Source organism: Homo sapiens, chromosome 2, assembly GCF_000001405.40.
Source record: "Homo sapiens chromosome 2, GRCh38.p14 Primary Assembly".
NCBI classification, from domain to species: Eukaryota; Metazoa; Chordata; class Mammalia; order Primates; family Hominidae; genus Homo; species Homo sapiens.
Window position 1 is genome coordinate 220,626,349 of NC_000002.12, and position 17,957 is coordinate 220,644,305.

Sequence of the window (17,957 nt, forward strand, 5' to 3'; positions counted from 1 at the left end):
AAATTTTGCAGTTAGTCCAAAGACTTATGGATGAGAAACTTCAGAACATTTCTGTGGTTACCTCTGCAGCATTAGGCAAAAATCTAACCTCTGATCTTCAGATGGTAGACTATTAGGGCTGGGCTGATGTTACACAGCCGCTTGGTGTGGGGGCCAGGGTTTTAGGTAAGGCACATGCCCTTGAAGGCCTTAAAACATAGAATGCCTGGTCATGCAAGACACAGCAAGCTGGTAGGACCTGGCCTCTGTCCTGCTTGGTATGGCATCATGAAAAAAATACTATGCCTGTCTGTACAACAGATCAGTGTCTCCTTAATAATAACCAATTTTGTTTTTAACAGAAAGTAGTTTATATACTGAAGGTGTTAGTCATTATAATCTTTTATAATCCCTCACTTTTGTATAGTACTTCTCAGTTTATAAAACTCTGCACACACTTGATCTCATTTAATCTTCCTATGACCTCAGGCAGTATACCTTATTAACCTCCCTTTGTAAGTGTGATGACTTAGAACCGTGGAGATTAAAGCACCTTTTCCAGGTCTTTTGCTCCTCCTCCTCGAGTACTTTGTCCAGTAAACCACAACTGCCGCATGGTCAAGGACCTGGATAGTTGGTGCAAGCCTCAAGGCTGGCTTGGAAACATCCATCAGCAGAGTTTCTCTTGATATTTCTTTAGAACTAGGCTGGATGTCCTTGGTCATCACGTTTCTACTGTCACATGTACACATTCTTTCCCTCCTTGCCTTAGTTAGAAACTGCTTACCCCTCCAATCTCAGCTGAGTTGTTGGTCCCTTTTGGAAGCTCTCTCTGACTTCACTTACTTCCACCTCATCCTATACTCTCTGCACCGTAACAAACTTCTCTCTTGTGTAATTATGTGATTAATGTTTATGTCCCTTGGAAGCCCTTGTATGTCTATTGAGTAAGAAAAATCTGTTTTTGTTCGTTGTTACGTCTCAGTGCCCAACAGTTTCTACCCCATAATAAGCACTCAATATGTATGTTTTTAAATGGTTGAATGAATAATTAAGTCTTACTTGAATAAGTTCACCCATTTGTTGGAAAAGCAATAATTTAATAATCTGGTACTGGAAATGTTTTTAAAGACTTTTTCTCCAACTAAGCAAATTTTCTTATTGTGAAACAGACCATGAATCCAATTCCCCTGGTACTTAAACTCTTTCATGGAAGTAAATGAAGCTACATAAAATTAGTTAAGTCAAGCAGAGGAATATTTAAGAAGTTTCAGTTTGAACACATAAAACTAGTTTCATCCAGAATGAATTATTGAATTTATCAAAGATGTCAAGCTTTTTTTCCCCAAGAAGGCTAGCCACAGAAAGACTTCCATACCAGTGGATTAAATTAATTTCCAAGTATACATTTCAGTTTAAGGTAAAGGTAAATGTATCTCAATTGGCCCAAAACATAAGTGTCAATTTATGAGGTACTTGTCTGGCATGCACAAGCTTTTCTCATGAGGATGCTAAATCATGAACTGACAATCTGATTTGTCCATTTTGTCTTTGATGCTAATGCTGTAGCAGGAATGCATACTCATATTGTTATTTGTAGGAAATCTCTCACAGAGTAGTTTGAGTGGTGACACAGAATTTATTGTCTTTATCCATGCTTTTAATAACACTAACAGACAATTCAGTGAGAGCTGGTGCAATTCCCAATGTACAGACAGAATAAATGAGGCAAATCACAATTCATCATCAAGAATTAGATGAGCCAGAAAAATGCCTTTGGTGAAACAAGTTTCTTGCACTGACCTGTGAGAGGTTTGACTGTGAAATTTTGTCTTCTTAAAAAAGTGAATTTGCAATGAAGGAGTATCTGTAGAATAAAACCAGTGAAGAGCTATAGGAAGCAGCACAGAGATTGCTACATGACACCCCTATTGCTCTAGTGGGAGGCAGCCCAATAGAAAGGGAAGACTGGGAGCTGGGAGACCTGGGTTCCAGTTCTGGTTTGCAGCAACTTTCTGACTAATCATTGGCAAGTCACTTTACTACTCTGGCTCACAGTTTTTATACCTATAAAATGAGGAAAATAAATTATGTATGGCTCCAAATGTGAAATTGCTGCTTGGTTGCATCAGAAGGCCCAGGGACTTTTTAAAATGCAGATTCCTGGCTGCTTTCCAAGACTTAACAAATCAGAACCTTTAGGAGAAGAGTCAGAACTTGGGAATCAATATTTTTAATAGCTGCATAGATGATTCTTGCAAATTAATGAAATACAGCTTGAATACTTTCAGCCACAGATTGTAAGCTCTGGCTCCTTCATTCAACAACCTAATCACAATCCATATCTCCAGGGCAGCAATGGAGACTGTGGTGGTGTCTCTGGTTTTGACTTAGCACAACTGTTCATCAGGATGTATCGCCTGGGATGGTTAATGTGTACAAAAAATAGGTAGAAAGAATAAGTAATAACTACTATTGATAGCATAACAGGTTGACTATAGTCAATAATAACTTAATCTTACATTTTAAATAACTAAAAGAGTATAATTGGAAGGTTTGTAACACAAAGAATAAATGCTTGAGGGAATATATATCCCATTTCCTATGATGTGACTATTTCACATTGCATGTCTGTATCAAAACATCTCATATACCCCACAATTATATGCACCTCATATGTACCCACAAAAATTAAAAATTTGAAAAAATTTGAAAAAGATGTACTGCTTGGATTTTCTAGGCAATGCATAATTTGAGGAATATAGAGCTAAACTATTGTTAGTCTCTTCAGGGTCCATAAATGTCATAAAATAGAAATGGGACATAGCTCTGCCAACAAAGGAGACCCATGGAAAGCTTTTGAGATGACTGTCATTCACAACTTGCATCTTAGGAAGTTATCTCCTGTAGTAGGTTGGTGGACTACCTGTTGCTGCAACCTAGGCAATGGGTCATGAGCACCAGAACCAGGGCAGTGATCTACTGCATACCTAAACCAAGCCAAAGACTGTCAAGCCGACCCTATAGCCTTTTAGAATGAATGGTGGCACTTCAGAAGCACGTGTGTGTGTGTATGTGTGTGTGTGTATTTTTCTGTAGGACTGTGTTTCTTACATATTTAAGGACATTTGTGCTCTTTCAATATACCTAGATGTGGTGTATGTATGTACATGTGTTTAAGCAGTTTTGGTGGTGTTTTGGGATATGGGATCCAGAACTGCTAGAAATTCCAGTGGGAATTTGAATTGGAAAAGTGATAATTTTCAGACTTGTATTTCTTTCATTTAAACAACTGACTCATAGTTAAGACATACTTTCAGCATACTGTGTATAATTAACTTTGTTTCCTGTGAAAACCTTTATATTTTGAATCAAGATAATGCTTTTGAATGAAGACCTTTTGGCACAACATTTTAAGAATCAAAATGATGATTTTTAGTGTTAAAATCTTTACATTTCAAAGTAGTAAGAGTTGTATATTGAAGCTAGAATTTTTTAAAGCCAATTCATGTTTGGGTATTTAGCTCATCTTGGCTTTTTTTTTCTTGTTGTACCTCCTAATTGATAGTTTATCCTGATACAAAAGATAAAAATTTAAACCTGTTTATGCTAATATGCAATAACTAATTTACTATTGCATCTTAATTTCTGCTCTCAAAATCTTGTTTTAGGGATCTTCTGGGTTGTGGAAATCTCTGTAAGATGGTTTTGGTCTAAGCTGCTTGGTTACCAAGATGTCAGTTCAAGAACTAATGACAATTGATATTCATGATTGTACTTGTTTCAGGCAATCCACGCTATGGTTGCTTGAAGGTCTTCCAAATGGTAGCCTTCTCTAGGCAATATTGTCCACTCTGTTATGCTATCAACGAAAGACTGGCTTTTCTCTTTGGGTCCACAGAAATTTATTGAGATAACATCATGAGATCATTGCTATACCCAGTGCTTTTAGACAGGGATCTGTGAGCTGCCTGGAAACACAGAGCCAACAACAGGCTTCATTTGAAATCTCACAGTTGAAATATGTGATATATTAAAGTTCACCTTGCAGGTGTGAGCATTCGGATCACCAACGCTGTGACCTCGCTGTGTGAACGGGAGCTACTACAGGAAGGAAGCTTACAAATGAGCTGCATGGATCCCACATTTTGCTAAAATCAAATAGGACCTTTCTCCTCTTTGTTGAATGCCGTAATACACAAGAAATAAGCCAGCAGGATGCTCATGTCCAAGGTACTCATTCTTTTCACCCAATTCAAAGAGAGCCAGTTTCATCACTTTTATTCTACAAGAAAAATTTCACCATAAGACAACCAGTTTCCCAAAAGAAAGTGAAATCTTTTATCTTAAGAGAGTAAAAAGTAAATTTTTTCTATGTATTTTAATGAAGGGTTTCTATTCAAACAACCCTTGCTTCTCATCAGAAGTTGTCCTTATATAGGAGAAATTACCTGGACTTTGGTGTCAAACAGACCTCAGTTCTAATCCTAAATCCAGAACTTAATAGCTTTTGCCTTTTTATATCACGTATGTGCTGAGCTTCTATTGTGTAATTCATGAAACAGAGATAATAATAATACTTTATGAGACTGTTTTGAGGATTAAATATTAATAAAAAAGCTACTGTACTCAGGTTGTGTAAGCCTATGAGTACCACTTAAACAAATTCCCAAATTGTCTCAGGAATAGGTGTGCATGTGTGTTAATACGTGTGCATGTGAACGTTTGTAGTAGAATAAGTATGGGATGGGCACTGGAGACTTGGGTTTCAGGCTCTCTCTCTCTCTCTGTCCTACTGTCTTCTGTCTCTGTCTTTGTCTTAGCCTCAGTTTCCTCATCTTTAAAAGGAATATACCCCAGGCAGATGTCATGATGACTAGTTGAGATGATCTACGTAAAGTACCTGGAACATGGCCAACACTCTATGGAAATACTAGTTTTCTTCCCCTTTTCCCGGTATACCTTTGCATATGGAGAGAAAGGGGGAGCAGGAGAAAATTAAACGTTGTATATTTCACACTTGCAAAATGATTTCTTAATTATGCTGATGATATTGAACATCCATTGCTTACTTTGAACAGTGAAAATCACTTATACATGTTTTCTCCCGTAATTCTTACTCCAGCCCTTTTTGAGAGATGCTGGTACTACCTCTGTTTTATAGATAGCAAAGTTCAGAGGTTTAGGTCACTCACCTGAGATTGAACATGGGTCTCCCGGATTCCAAAGCCAACCAAAGTGTTCAAGCGTTTGCTTTTCTGCTCCCCTAACCAAGCTTCCTTGTCCTTTATTCATGAGTATTTTGTTTGCTTTTTGTTTTGTTTTTGTTTGTTTGTCTTTTTCTAATCTTTAAATCTTTAAATTTAGACCAGGAAGAGAACTGTCTTAAAAATACAGTCAGGACTAACCTCAGCTGTCTTTAGACCTGTGCTAGTCCAGAAGGTATCATTATTTTTCAGCCTGAATATTTGATTGTTGCTTTTATAAGTACATAATTGAGATGCACTGAGGAAAAAAAGACAGCACTGCACTTTCTCATTTGCTTTGCAACAAAGGTAGATGGTTTGAAGAAGCCTTGCCCTTCAATGATTAGGCAGCTTGTATGACTAATAAGAATATTGTCCCTAAAGGAAAGTGGAACATCTTACAAATACAAGAGCACTCAATTAGAGTTTTAAATTAGAATGTAATTATGTGGTTTTTTTCTCTTTTTTTGAGGAAGAAAAAGAGCTTTTAATCTTTTAGGTGGCTTATTTTGGTGAAAAAACAATTTTAGGAAGTGTTTAAATTTAAAAAGCTACTCTGCGTCTTGTTTAATTTTGGACCTAGTCCAGTCCCTGAAGTACTAGAAGCAGATAAGTTTGCTTATACCTGGCTTTTTAAGCCACTTCATTTTATAATTCAAAACAGGGATGAGCTGTTGATATGGATTACTGCACTCAGTATAATGAAATTGTCAATATGCTTTGAGATGCACGGCATGTAATCAGACATGTAGAGAAATAGCCCATTCAGTCCCTGAAACAAAAGATTTGCCTTTGAGACCATGACTGTACAAAAGCAACCATGCTCTTTATTTAGGAAATAAACTGGAATGGGGTAGTTTTCTCAACGTGAAACCAAATGTACTCTTTGACCCAAAGCACTCTCCTTTATAGTTTCCATGGACATTCTCCAGGTGGATAAATAAAAGGTTATTGTTTGATTATGGTAGGTCAGGCTCTTGTCTTGTCTGATCAATAATATTATACTTCCTATGACTTTAGAGAGAAGAACAACACGGACGATAAAGACCAATGTGGTTATTTGTAAATCTATTCTTTTGAAAGGTTTCCCTTTATCTACCACACGAGTTGGCATGAAACAACTTCTGGGGTTCAAATCTTCTGAACAATGATACAAGTCTTGGCAAATTTCAAGAATAATTTAAAGAGGAAATAAATAGCTTTTTGTTTAACTTGGATCAATTATCTCCTATTGGTAAGTCTCTTTTCCCATCCTGTGTATTTCTTGTCTGCTCTATCATTTGAATGTTTTCTGATAAGAACATTAGTAGAAGCTATCAACTGGACCCTGCAATGTTCTGGGTATGGTTGTAAATGCTTTACACTTATATTTTATGTAATGCTTTAAATTTTGTGAAGGTAGGTTTTGTTTCTCCATTCTATGAATGATTGAAGAGATAAAGTGACTCGTAGTTTCCATAATGATTATATGGTAGAAGTCAGGTTTACCCACCTTTACTCTTAATCATACAGATGTACTCATTAAGGATTGCTCTTAATCATACAGGTAGACTCATTAAGGGTTATGAGGTGGGGTCTAGCTCATTCTGCCCTTGTTCTTTGCAGTCAGCCCCATCACCAATTACTGGCTATGCTTTTCTAAAGCCAGTCATGCCAACACAAATTTGGTTAGGATAAGTTTCCTAGAATCCTAGAAATTCAGAGTTTCAAAAAATGCTAGAGGGCACAGGATCCAATTCCTTATATATACTTGTGAGAAACTGAAGACCAGGAAGGCAAACAAGTAAATAAAACAACAACAAAAAAACCTTGTCACGATTCACTCAGATGGTAGGTGGCAGGACTGAAATTAATACTCCTTTCTGCTGTGTTCAAATCACTCTGCCTCCATATTACTAGTGATATATTTGCATCTTTACTTGTTCCTAAGGATACATTGCAGAATTTTGCATCATTTTTCAAGTTCTGTTTTTTTTTAAACTATGTAGGAATTTTAAAAACTCTTGTTGAGAAAATAATTATAGATGAAAACACAAATAACTCAAATAACTGGAACGCTATTTTGAGACATCTCAAACCAGAGTAGGAGGCTGAAAGTAACAAAGTAAACAAGCCGTTGAATACAGGAGCTGGGAATAGTGTTAAAAAAATCATACTGTTCAAAGTTTCTGAAAAATGCTCAGGTAGTGGGATGATTAGTGGGTACATGATGGGTTTTTGGTTATATCAACAAAATTATAGCGTTGATTTGATGATATTAGTATATATGTGCACACGTGTTTATATATATATATATATATATATATATATATATGTCTGTATGTATCTATGCATATTTATGTGTACACATTTTTTCAGCTCCCAGCTTCATGCCAGGTACTCTCCACTGTGCCTGGGAAATATGAATCCCTGCCCTCATGAAAAAACATTGGCCATGAGGATTTTCCCTACAACCCAAGAACTATTTGAAGTTTGAAGTCTTTCAGCCCAGACAACACTGGCTATTTTCACCTTTGCCTTCAACTATAAAGGCTGGGCTCTCTCTGCAGGAGTGGGTAAGTACAGCCCGTGGTGGAGAAGAGAGAAAAAGTCTTTCAGTGCAGTACAGGCTCTATCACAATAGATGGGCCTTATTAGCCATTCTCAGCCTCATAGATAATGTAGTCGTGGATGGCATGGTTTGATCTAGTGAAGAATTGCCCAGGAGATTGTGTTGACATCTGAGATTTATTTTAATCCTTTTTTGCAGATTTTGTAACGAGCATTGTAACAAAGTACGCCAAAGAATCATTACATATCTTATAAAATCTTAATAATACAAAAATTAGAAACGTTTTTCATGCATACGTTCAATTTGTTCAAAGTCCTGATTTCGCTTTGCTGATTAGCATACAGTGCCCTGTGAGGGGACCCTGCCTTTAAGACATCATGCTCCCTGGATTGCGATGTATATTTTTAAATGAGTAGTATGCATATTATGTTTACAGGTCGCTACTGTCAAATCATATAGTTTGAACTAAATGATGCAGAATGGACACATACCTATGTACATGGGTTCTTTTTTTTCACTTATTCACTAAATCCTTATTGACTGTCCAGCTTGAGCATTAAAAATAAAGTGAAAAAATAAGCCTTCAGAAATAAAGAGATATTTCCACTGTGGAGCAGAAGATGTATTATGGGGATCTGTCTGGAAAAGTAAATGATTCCTACAAGGGCATGCAGCCGGAGGAGCGGCTGTAGCAAGAATGTAGGACCCAGGGCTGGATGCATGCCTTCTTTCCTTGAGTCCACACTGAATAGTTGTGTGATCCCAAGCAAAGCATTCCATCATTTTGACCTTCTTTCCTCAACTGGAAAATGAGATTAATCTTACCTACTTTATAGTGCTATTGTGAAGATGAAAGGGAATATTGTATGCAAAATTACCTAGCACAGAGGAGATAGCCAGTAAAGTTTTTCGCTTTTTCCCTTTCTGTTATTTAGTGGTAAGATCTCAAGCAATTCAGTATCCTGAAAATGCAGTGTATGGCACATAGGTCATTGCAATACATTTCCTTCATGAAACTCTTCCTGGCCCTGACTTGGCGTCTCATGCAATGTCCTTCATTTCTCCTCCCCTCTCCCAACCCAGAAGTCAGGTTGTTTGTTTGTTCTTTCCCCAGATTTCTGCTTTCTTCATCCTCCAGGCTTCCTTTTCTCTTGAGCATCTATTTGCTTCCCTTTCCTTTCTACAGCATTTTCTTACTCTTTTTTTAAAAAAATTATACTTAAATTATGGGATACATATGCAGAACGTGCAGGTTTGTTACATAGGTATACACATGCCGTGGTGGTTCGCTGCACCCATCAACTCGTCATCTACATTAAGTATTTCTCCTAATGCTATCCATCCTCTAACCCCTCGCCCCCTGACAGGCCCCGATGTGTGATGTTCCCCTCCCTGTGTCCATGTGTTCTCGTTGTTCAACTCCCAGTTATGAGTGAGAACATGTAGTGTTTGGTTTTCTGCTTCTGTGTTAGTTTGCTGAAAATGATGGTTTCCAGCTTCATCCATGTCCCTGAAGAGGATATGAACTCATCCTTTTTTATGGCTGTGTAGTATTCCATGGTGTGTATGTGCCACATTTTCTTTATCCAGTCTATAATTGATGGGCATTTGTGTTGGTTCCAAGTCTTTGCTATTGTTAACAGTGCTACAATAAACATACATGTGCATGTGTCTTTATAGTAGACTGATTTATAATCCTTTGGATATATACCCAGTAATGGGATTGCTGGGTCAAATGGTATTTCTGGTTCTAGATCTTTGAGCAATCGCCACACTGTCTTCCACAATCGTTGAACTAATTTACACTCCCACCAACAGTGTAAAAGCATTTCTTTGGGTTCTATTCTTCTCAAAACCTGTATGTATGTCTGTATGTATGTACCCATGTATATTTATATGCATACATTTTTATAGTTCCTGTTGTATGCTGCTACCATGTGACACTACTTCCAGGCCCCTTATTTTCCTGGCATCAAAATAGTATTACTGAAATGGTTTTAATCTGGAGGCTTTCCTGATAATAAATAGGGATAACAAAAACATGAGTCATTAAAAAATGAAAATATCCTAAAAATCTCCAAAAATTCTTACTTATGGTTGTGTCAAGACTTTGTTACAATATTAACAGATCTTATTTTTACTGCATTTTTACTCCCATCTCTCCCCGTCCAGTCCAAGGGGATAATCGGGCTTTTGACTCAAGAGTTTCCATTTTAAAGCTTGCCTGTAAGTGCTGTCCACCATTCATCATGATCACCCCTGCCCAATCCTCACTCTCCTTCAGACATTAAGGATTTTGTTTCCTAAAGTTAAACTCACGAAAGAGATATATTAAGGGGAAGAGAAAGAGGCAAATACCTTGAGCATTGGGAGAGGTGATAAGAAAACATTAGGGGAAATTGTTAAGGACTAGGAAGAAGATGGTGGCCTGAATTTCTCTGAATAAGGAAAATTGGTGCAGAAATCTAGGGAGGTGGGACAGACCTGCCTCCTAGAGAACCTGGGAACCCAGGAACTGAACTCAGCAATTGTAGACTGTAGACACCAGGGCCCCAACCTGGCAGTGTGTACTTTGCCCAATTTTAGAAAGGCAGCTCTGGAATCAATTTAATACATTATGAGTTACCATCATTCCTAGGACTTTCAGACAACTCTGGAGTGGAAGGAAGGAGCTCCAATAATAATAATAATAATGTAATGAAACTTCCTAATAGTCTAGTTGTATGAGAGCTTAGTGTCAGATTAAATTTGATGTAAGAACCTGCGTGTGTGTGTGTGTGTGTGTGTGTATGTGTGTGTGTGAGATATTTATTACGTAATTTGCTAGAATGTGTTAAATACAATGGAGAAAATAAATCAAGAAATGCTGATAGGAAATGTTATAGTTGGAAGAGGTTGGAATCTGAATGCTGTGGACAGGGAAGATCTTACTGAAAAGAAAACACTTGAACAAAGTTTTGAAAAGGGTGAAGGAAAGAGCGATAAAGAGATTCAAAGGAAAGAGTATTACAGATAGAAGGAAGAGCAAGGTCTGTGAGGCCGAGAGGTAGGAACATGCCTGCTCTAATGAGAGGCACTGAGAAGTTGTTGTAAAACTGCACTGTCCCTGACCATATATAGCTATCAAGCATTTGCAATGTGGCTAGCCTGAACTGAGGTGTATTGTACACATAAATGACACACCAGATTTCAGAGACGTCGTAACGAAAGAAAAACTAAACTATATCATGTGCAATTGGTACTGATTAAATGTTGAAATACAATGTTTTGGATATATTATGTCAAATAGATTGTTAAAGTTAATTGCATCTGTTTTATACATATTTTTAATGTTGCTACTGGAAAATTAAAAATTGCACTTCTTTTATGTAGCTCACATTATATTCTTCTGGCAGTACTATTGTAGAAGATGAGATCTGGAAGGTAATGATGCCAAATTTTTAATGCTCCTTAGGCCATTTGCATTTGTTCTAAGAGGGAGGCTATTAATTTCAAATTATTTACCAAAATTGGGATATCACTAAGAACTCATTGCAGTATAATTTGTTATACTGCAATATATATGTTATACTGAAATATATATATAACTATATATAGCTATATATATAGCTATATGTAACTATATATATACACACACACATATATAACATATACATATATACACATATACATATATATATACACACACACACACACACACACACATATATATATATATATATAACACCTTTGAGCAGAAGATGAGCATAATCTACCATTTTTATAACTGGATCACTCTGGGTACTCTTACAGGTTATAGGAGGACAAGGATGAAATCAGGGACACCTATTAAAGGGCATTCCAATAATCCAGGCTAGAGATGGTGCTGACTTGGGTAGCAGCATAGATTATGATATGTGGTCAGATACCAGAGGAATTTCTAATACATTCAAAGTGTGATGTAAGAAAAAAAGAATGAGGATTACTCCCCAGAACATTTGTCTTGAATATCTATGCAGGTTTGTTTTTCATTCAGTGAGATGGAGAAGATGAGGAGAGTGGATTGGGACAGAAACTCAGGAGTTTAGCTTTGTACATGTTAAGGTTGAAACATTTATTGGGCATCCAGGTAGAGGTTTATGGAGGTAGTCTGATAATCAGGGAGTGGTCTTGGCAGAAGATAAACTCTGGAGGATAATCAATATAAAAATTGGCATTTGGTACCATGAGATTAAATGGTATCACCAATGGAGCGAATTAGAGGTGGGGAAGAGAAGAGGCAGGAGGATCGAGGCAGGGGGAACTCAGAGAGTTCATGAGCAGAACTACTGCTCCATTTACCCTGGAACACACTTTGTAGCACTCACTTCTGGGGTTCTCATTGATGTAGACTTATTCAGAAGGAGAAACACCAGTACTAACTGGAAAGGTCCTGTTTGTTCTGGGCTGGACAGTTACAGCAGAAAGAGTGTTAATCAGTGTGAGAAAAGGGGCAGATGTAAAGTATATTCCTCCATATATAGATATGTCATTGTTTAAATGGACAAATTATGCTGCAAAGAACTCTAGTTATATCCCAATTTTGGTAAATAATTTAAAATTACAGCAATCTCAATATCATAGTGTGACATCAATTATATTAAAGACTCCCTGAAATTTCTTAGTAAAATGTTAATTTTACATCACCTTAATTTTTTAATGCTACCCAATACCAGATTTGATGTCCAAATAAAGATGACAAGGTCTTAGAACTCTACAATAGTGGAATCACTGTGACATGCACTTTCTAAATACACATTATGGAGACATTTTCAGGTGCTCTTGACCTTGTCCTCTGGAAAATATGCTCCTTATATGTCCACTTAGTGCTACATTTTGAACTATTGCCTCTGAGGTTTCTGAGTCTCTTTTTCCCCTTGAAACTGGATCAACATGTTCATTTCTTAAAGGTGAAGATTCCTCAGAGGAATAGAAGGTAGAGGCTGAGTGACCAAAAGCAGAATAATGTTATCCTACTGCAGGATACCTACAATGTAATATGAAAAATTAGCTGTTTCTTCTAGAAGAAGGATTTCCCTCTATTCATCTAGCTTGGATGGGAATATAGTGTGGGTAGCTAAGAATTCAGGCTCTGGGGCTGTACTTCCTGAGTTCAAATATTGGTTCTCCCATTCTGTAGTCATTTGATCTTGGGTAAAAATTTAATCTCTGTGTTTCAGATTTCTCACCTGTACAATGGGGATAATACTGCTATTGACATCATAGAGTTGTTGAAAGGATTAAATGACTTAATACTTGTTAAACCTTATACTAGTGCCTCGCTAAGCACTATATACATGTTCTCTATTTTTGTTTTCTATCTACCCATCACACTTTGTGTTCTGAAATTGCTGTCATCAGGAAGTATTTGTCCTCATTTTGCACAAAAAAACAATTTTAGTTTCTGAGCCCCCATCCTTTTGAAATTGAGGATGTCATGAAAGCCCAAATTTTGTAGTTTTTCCTACTGCCTTGACTCCTCAGACCTTTCGTCATACACTCACATGAGTTAATTAAAAGCCATTCTTTGTTATAGCCGTTTTGATTCCTTTATGTCCCCAAGTTCTGCTGCTTTTGTGCTATGTACCACATTGTCATTTCCTCTAGGGGCTTGCCATGTCCTTTAGGTACAATCAGAACACAATTCAATCATTCAAGATGGAGTGACAAACATCAGATTTACCCATTTGCCTGAAACCACCACAAAATGGATATAATACATGAAACATGCTTTGTGGGACACTGGACACCAGGCAGTGAAATTCAATGATCCCTGAAAGACAGCAAACAATGTGAGTCCTACAATTGCCCCAGTTTATGGGCAGGAGACAGTTTCCAAGCCATAGTGCAGAAAAGGGGACCCAGGCAGAGTCTGGCATACTCCTGGAGTTGAGGAGATGGATCTGAGAGCCTGGTAAAACCAAAACAGCTAGAGTTTGCTGGACAGAGTACTAGTGAAGAGAGAGCTGCACACAGAATTCCAGAGAACCGCAGAGGGTTCTCCTCTAGCATTCAGATGAATATTGATGTACACATGCATGTGAGGAAGTTACCCAACATCAAGGAAAGAACCACCTAAAAGGATTAGGAACAGCATTGTTCAACATTCAAACAAGTCTGAGAATAGTGCCTGTTCCCACCAGCCATGCTGGAAAACCTCAAGATTTATGAAGCATTGGATAGAATATTTAGGAGGATCTTGCATCAGAAGTGGGAAAAATTAAGGATGAGCACAGCTCTGATCTCACATAAGAAATCTTAAGTGCAAGACCCAAAAGGATCATAGTACTTCCAAATAACTACATCCCGGAACAAAGTTTCAAAATATTTATAGAACCACAAAATCACCTAGCTTCAACAAGATCATAGTCACAATATGCAGCATCTAATAAAAAATTACTGATTATGAAAAAAGCAAAACTATCAATCAATTAAAGCCAACTCAGTACTGACAAAGGTGTTAAATCTAGCAAATAAAGGCATGAAATGAGCTAGCAAATAAAGGCATAAAATATGCTATTCTATCTATGTCACATGTATCTAAAAAATTAAGTAGGAACATAGAAAATTTAAGAAAGACCCAAATCAAACTTTTATAGCTGAAAACTTCAATGTCCAAGATAAAAAATATGCTGGGTGCTATTAATGGTAGATTAGACATTGTAAACGAAAGACCAGTGAACTTGAAGGCACAACAATAGAAACTATTAAAAATAAAATACAGATTCAAAAAAATTGAAAGAGAAAAATAAAGCATCAGTGGGGCAAATTGCAACGGCCTGATATATGTGTAACTGGAGTCTCTGAAGGAGTAAGGAGAAAGAACATACATCCAAAGAAATCATGACTGAACATTTTCCATATTTGCTGGAAATTATAAACTCACAGATTTAAAAAGCTCAATCAATGAACATCAAACACATGAAACATGAGGAAAGCTACAGCAAAGCACATAACAATTAAATTTAAAAATGTTATAAGTAGCCAGAGGGAAAAATAAGACACACACTGTACAGAAGAACAAGATAAGGATAACAGGAGATTTCCCATCAGAAACAGCAGAAGCAAGAAGGAAATGGAGCAACATCTTTCAAGTACAGAAAAAAAAAAAAGGTCAATCTACAATTCTAGACAGTGAAAATATCTTTAAAAACGAAACTGAAATAAAGACTACTTTCATACATAAAAGGTTTACAGAATTTTATCACCAGCAGATCAGCAATTTAAGAATGTTAAAGGAAGTCCTTAGGGCAGAAAGAGAATTATATCACATAGAAATATGGATCAGCACAAAGGAAAGGAAACTGCCAATATCAGTAACCGCAAAGGAAAAAACAGAATGGAAGTTTCTTATTCAGATCTTTTTAAGTATAATTAAATCTTTAAACAAAACAAATGTAAAGTCAAGTTTATAATAAATATACAAGTGAAATATATGACAACAATAACACAAGGGTCAGGAGGGGGAAATGGAAGTGTACTATTGTAAAGTTCTTAGGCTGGATCTGAAGTGGTATAATATCACTTGGAGGTAGATTGTGACAAGTTAAAATACATACTACAAACCCTAAAGCAACCACTAAGTTAAAGAGTGATAGCTAGCAAGCCAACAGAGGAGATCAAACAGAATCATCAAATGTGCTGTCTAATGTATGTTTTCCTTTAAATAAATATCATGACATGGCACATGGCTTCTGGAAATCTATTCTTTTGAAAAACAGAAAAGTTAATTTTGAGGAAATAGAAAAGCACCTAGGAAAGTGGAGACTAAATCAAGCCCAGAAAAGCTGGATCTTACACTGATCCCAGGTTATGTCAACCATCTTTGTCCTGCAAATATCCTGAAAACAAGAAGCTTATCTATCCCAAGACTGTTGCAGGGATTAGTTGGAATTTCAAATGGAAGTACAAGACTTGAATCAGGAAGTAATCCACTTCCTTCACTGCATGGGGCAGATTGCAAACCTAAGTGTTGGATTTCATTTCCAACATTCAGCCACTATATGAAGGCTCCATAAGCCTGTCGGAATTGGCTTACAGAAGAAGGTACTATCTAAAGCAAAATCAGTCTCAACAACTAGCCTATGTCTATTAAAATACATTTAAAAAAATAAATAAATTTTATAAAAATGGTACAATCTTACCAAAACAGTGAATATCTTTCTACCTGCAGATGTCAACCAATTCTTGGAAGAAAAAAAACATAGATGGAAGAATATTAACTGAAAAATAGAGTGTAAGGAACATCAACTTAAAGTATCAACAATGAGATTCCTGTAATAGGAAGAGAAATTGACCTGCCTATCAGAGAACCCCAACCAGGGGATGCAAGTGAGAAGTAGAATAGAAATCAGAGGCATTTTAGAGGTATTATTCGTCTATATATATCACAGCTGTCAGCCCTTATTTCCTACTCCTTCTTGAAAAACACCTGACTGCTACATGTTATTCCCCAATCAAAACAACAACAAAGAGTTTTGGGGTTTGGGGTTTTGTTTTTGTTCGTAAAATTGGAAGGTATTGTTACAAGGAGCAGACTAGATAGTGTGAAGGCTAGTCACCTTGAGAAAACCCTCCTCATTCTGGCATTTGAGGAAGGCTACCTCCAGTATAACGGTGAGCCCAAGCCCATTCCTGCTGAATTAAAGCTTCCAGCTAATAAACGACTGCCCTCAGTAAATCTTTCTATTGCTTAATTTTTAAATGCGAAAAAATAACCGAGGATCATCAGACATTTGAGGAAATAATTCACACCTATGGAAAAACTGATCAAAAGGAAAATGAAGTGACTCAGGAACAGAGAATCACTTAAAAATCTGAAATCCATATTCATAAAAACCCAAGGAAATTTTACATCTGTAAAACCAAATCGGCATGCTATTAAAAAGGAGCTATCAGAAAATAAGAAAGAGCTCTTGTACATTTAAAATACCTTTGCCAAAACTAAAAGAAGACAGGAAAAAGTTGAAAGAAAATGTTTAAAGACAATAAAACCACCAAAATATAGAGCAAAAAGACGAGAAGTCAGAAAACATGGAGGAAAAGGGAGGCATAAATTGAAGACAAATTGGTTAGTTTCTGAAGAAGAAAATGAAGAAAAGGAAAGAGGAGGAACTATCAGCGTGCCCAGAAGGTACTCAGCAAATATTTGAAGAATGGGAAAATCAACAGAATCTTGGGTTGGCTGTTTATGAACAATGTGAAGTTGGACAAGTTGCTCATTCTGTCTGGAGATTCTTCCTTCACAGCATGGTGGGTGGTGGGTATGAGGCTTTATGTTTTGCAAATTATTTTGCATTTATTATAACTGCCTTTTTAAATTTAATAATTGTTATAAAATAGGACATAGCCCTACAATATATTATCATTGCTATATAATTAGTATTAATTTTTTAAAACTGTAGGGCATTTATTAAAAAATTCCCTTTTACCTATCACATATGCAAACTGATGCTCCTATGTCCTATTTAAGGGATTACTTTATACTTTAAAAATGTCTTATTGAAAGGATACTTCTCAACGTACATTGGCCAGGCTACTCATGCTACATAAAATTATGATAGAGTTGATTCATGTTGAAATTCTCTTTCCTTGCCAATTATTCTCTTCTGCTACTTCCCTTCTAGGTTCATTTAGAAACAAATGGAATTTACTATATCTCAAACTATTGAATTTTAGGTAGCTTTGGCTAGTATACAGTATACTTTATCTATGAAGATTCAATTCATAAATACATTCATATGAATAGTTTTGTAATTCCAGTCATTGCATTTTGGTATTTTTTCTATTTTAAATAGAAGCTGATTGAAGGCAACATCAAAAAGTGACATCCAAGTACCTTTTCCCAAAATCATATATATTTTGAGCCTAGGAGACACTTAGAGTTCATGCAGTGTAATTCAATATCCTAGTGTTAGAAATCAGGAAACTAATGAAGGACAAGATTGGTGAAATCTATTCTTCACGGCGGAGCCAAGGTTGAACCCAAATCTTCTAACACCTAGAAGAGTGTCCATTCCGGTAATTAAAAAAAAAATTGTTGACCATCTACGTATTCTAAAAGAAAAAAACGTAAATTCATAACAAAAGATAGACATTTCTAAAGTAAATGCAGTCTCAAGGGATGAGCTAATCATGTGTACAGAAGGTGTCAAGTACAGTGT

The 17,957-nt window shown here is 36.5% G+C and overlaps 1 long non-coding RNA gene across 1 annotated transcript in view, besides 1 other annotated feature; it reads left to right on the forward strand.

Annotated features, from left to right (window-relative positions):
* Positions 1-8,954, forward strand: part of LOC105373895 (uncharacterized) — a 66,857-nt gene extending 57,903 nt beyond the window's left edge. The window contains exons 2-4 of the long non-coding RNA XR_923937.3: positions 4,031-4,212; positions 6,309-6,459; positions 7,584-8,954. This is a non-coding gene — a long non-coding RNA (uncharacterized LOC105373895). The remainder of the gene's footprint in view (positions 1-4,030; positions 4,213-6,308; positions 6,460-7,583) is intronic.
* Positions 3,603-4,802: an enhancer, noted in NCBI's record as "BRD4-independent group 4 enhancer chr2:221494672-221495871 (GRCh37/hg19 assembly coordinates)". NCBI's record gives its function as "activates an origin of replication core promoter dependent on BRD2, P300/CBP, MED14 and CDK7 cofactors, and independent of BRD4, by STARR-seq in HCT116 cells {active_cell/tissue: HCT116}" and the evidence as "EXISTENCE:reporter gene assay evidence [ECO:0000049][PMID:35650434]".
* Positions 8,955-17,957: the final 9,003 nt, after the last annotated feature.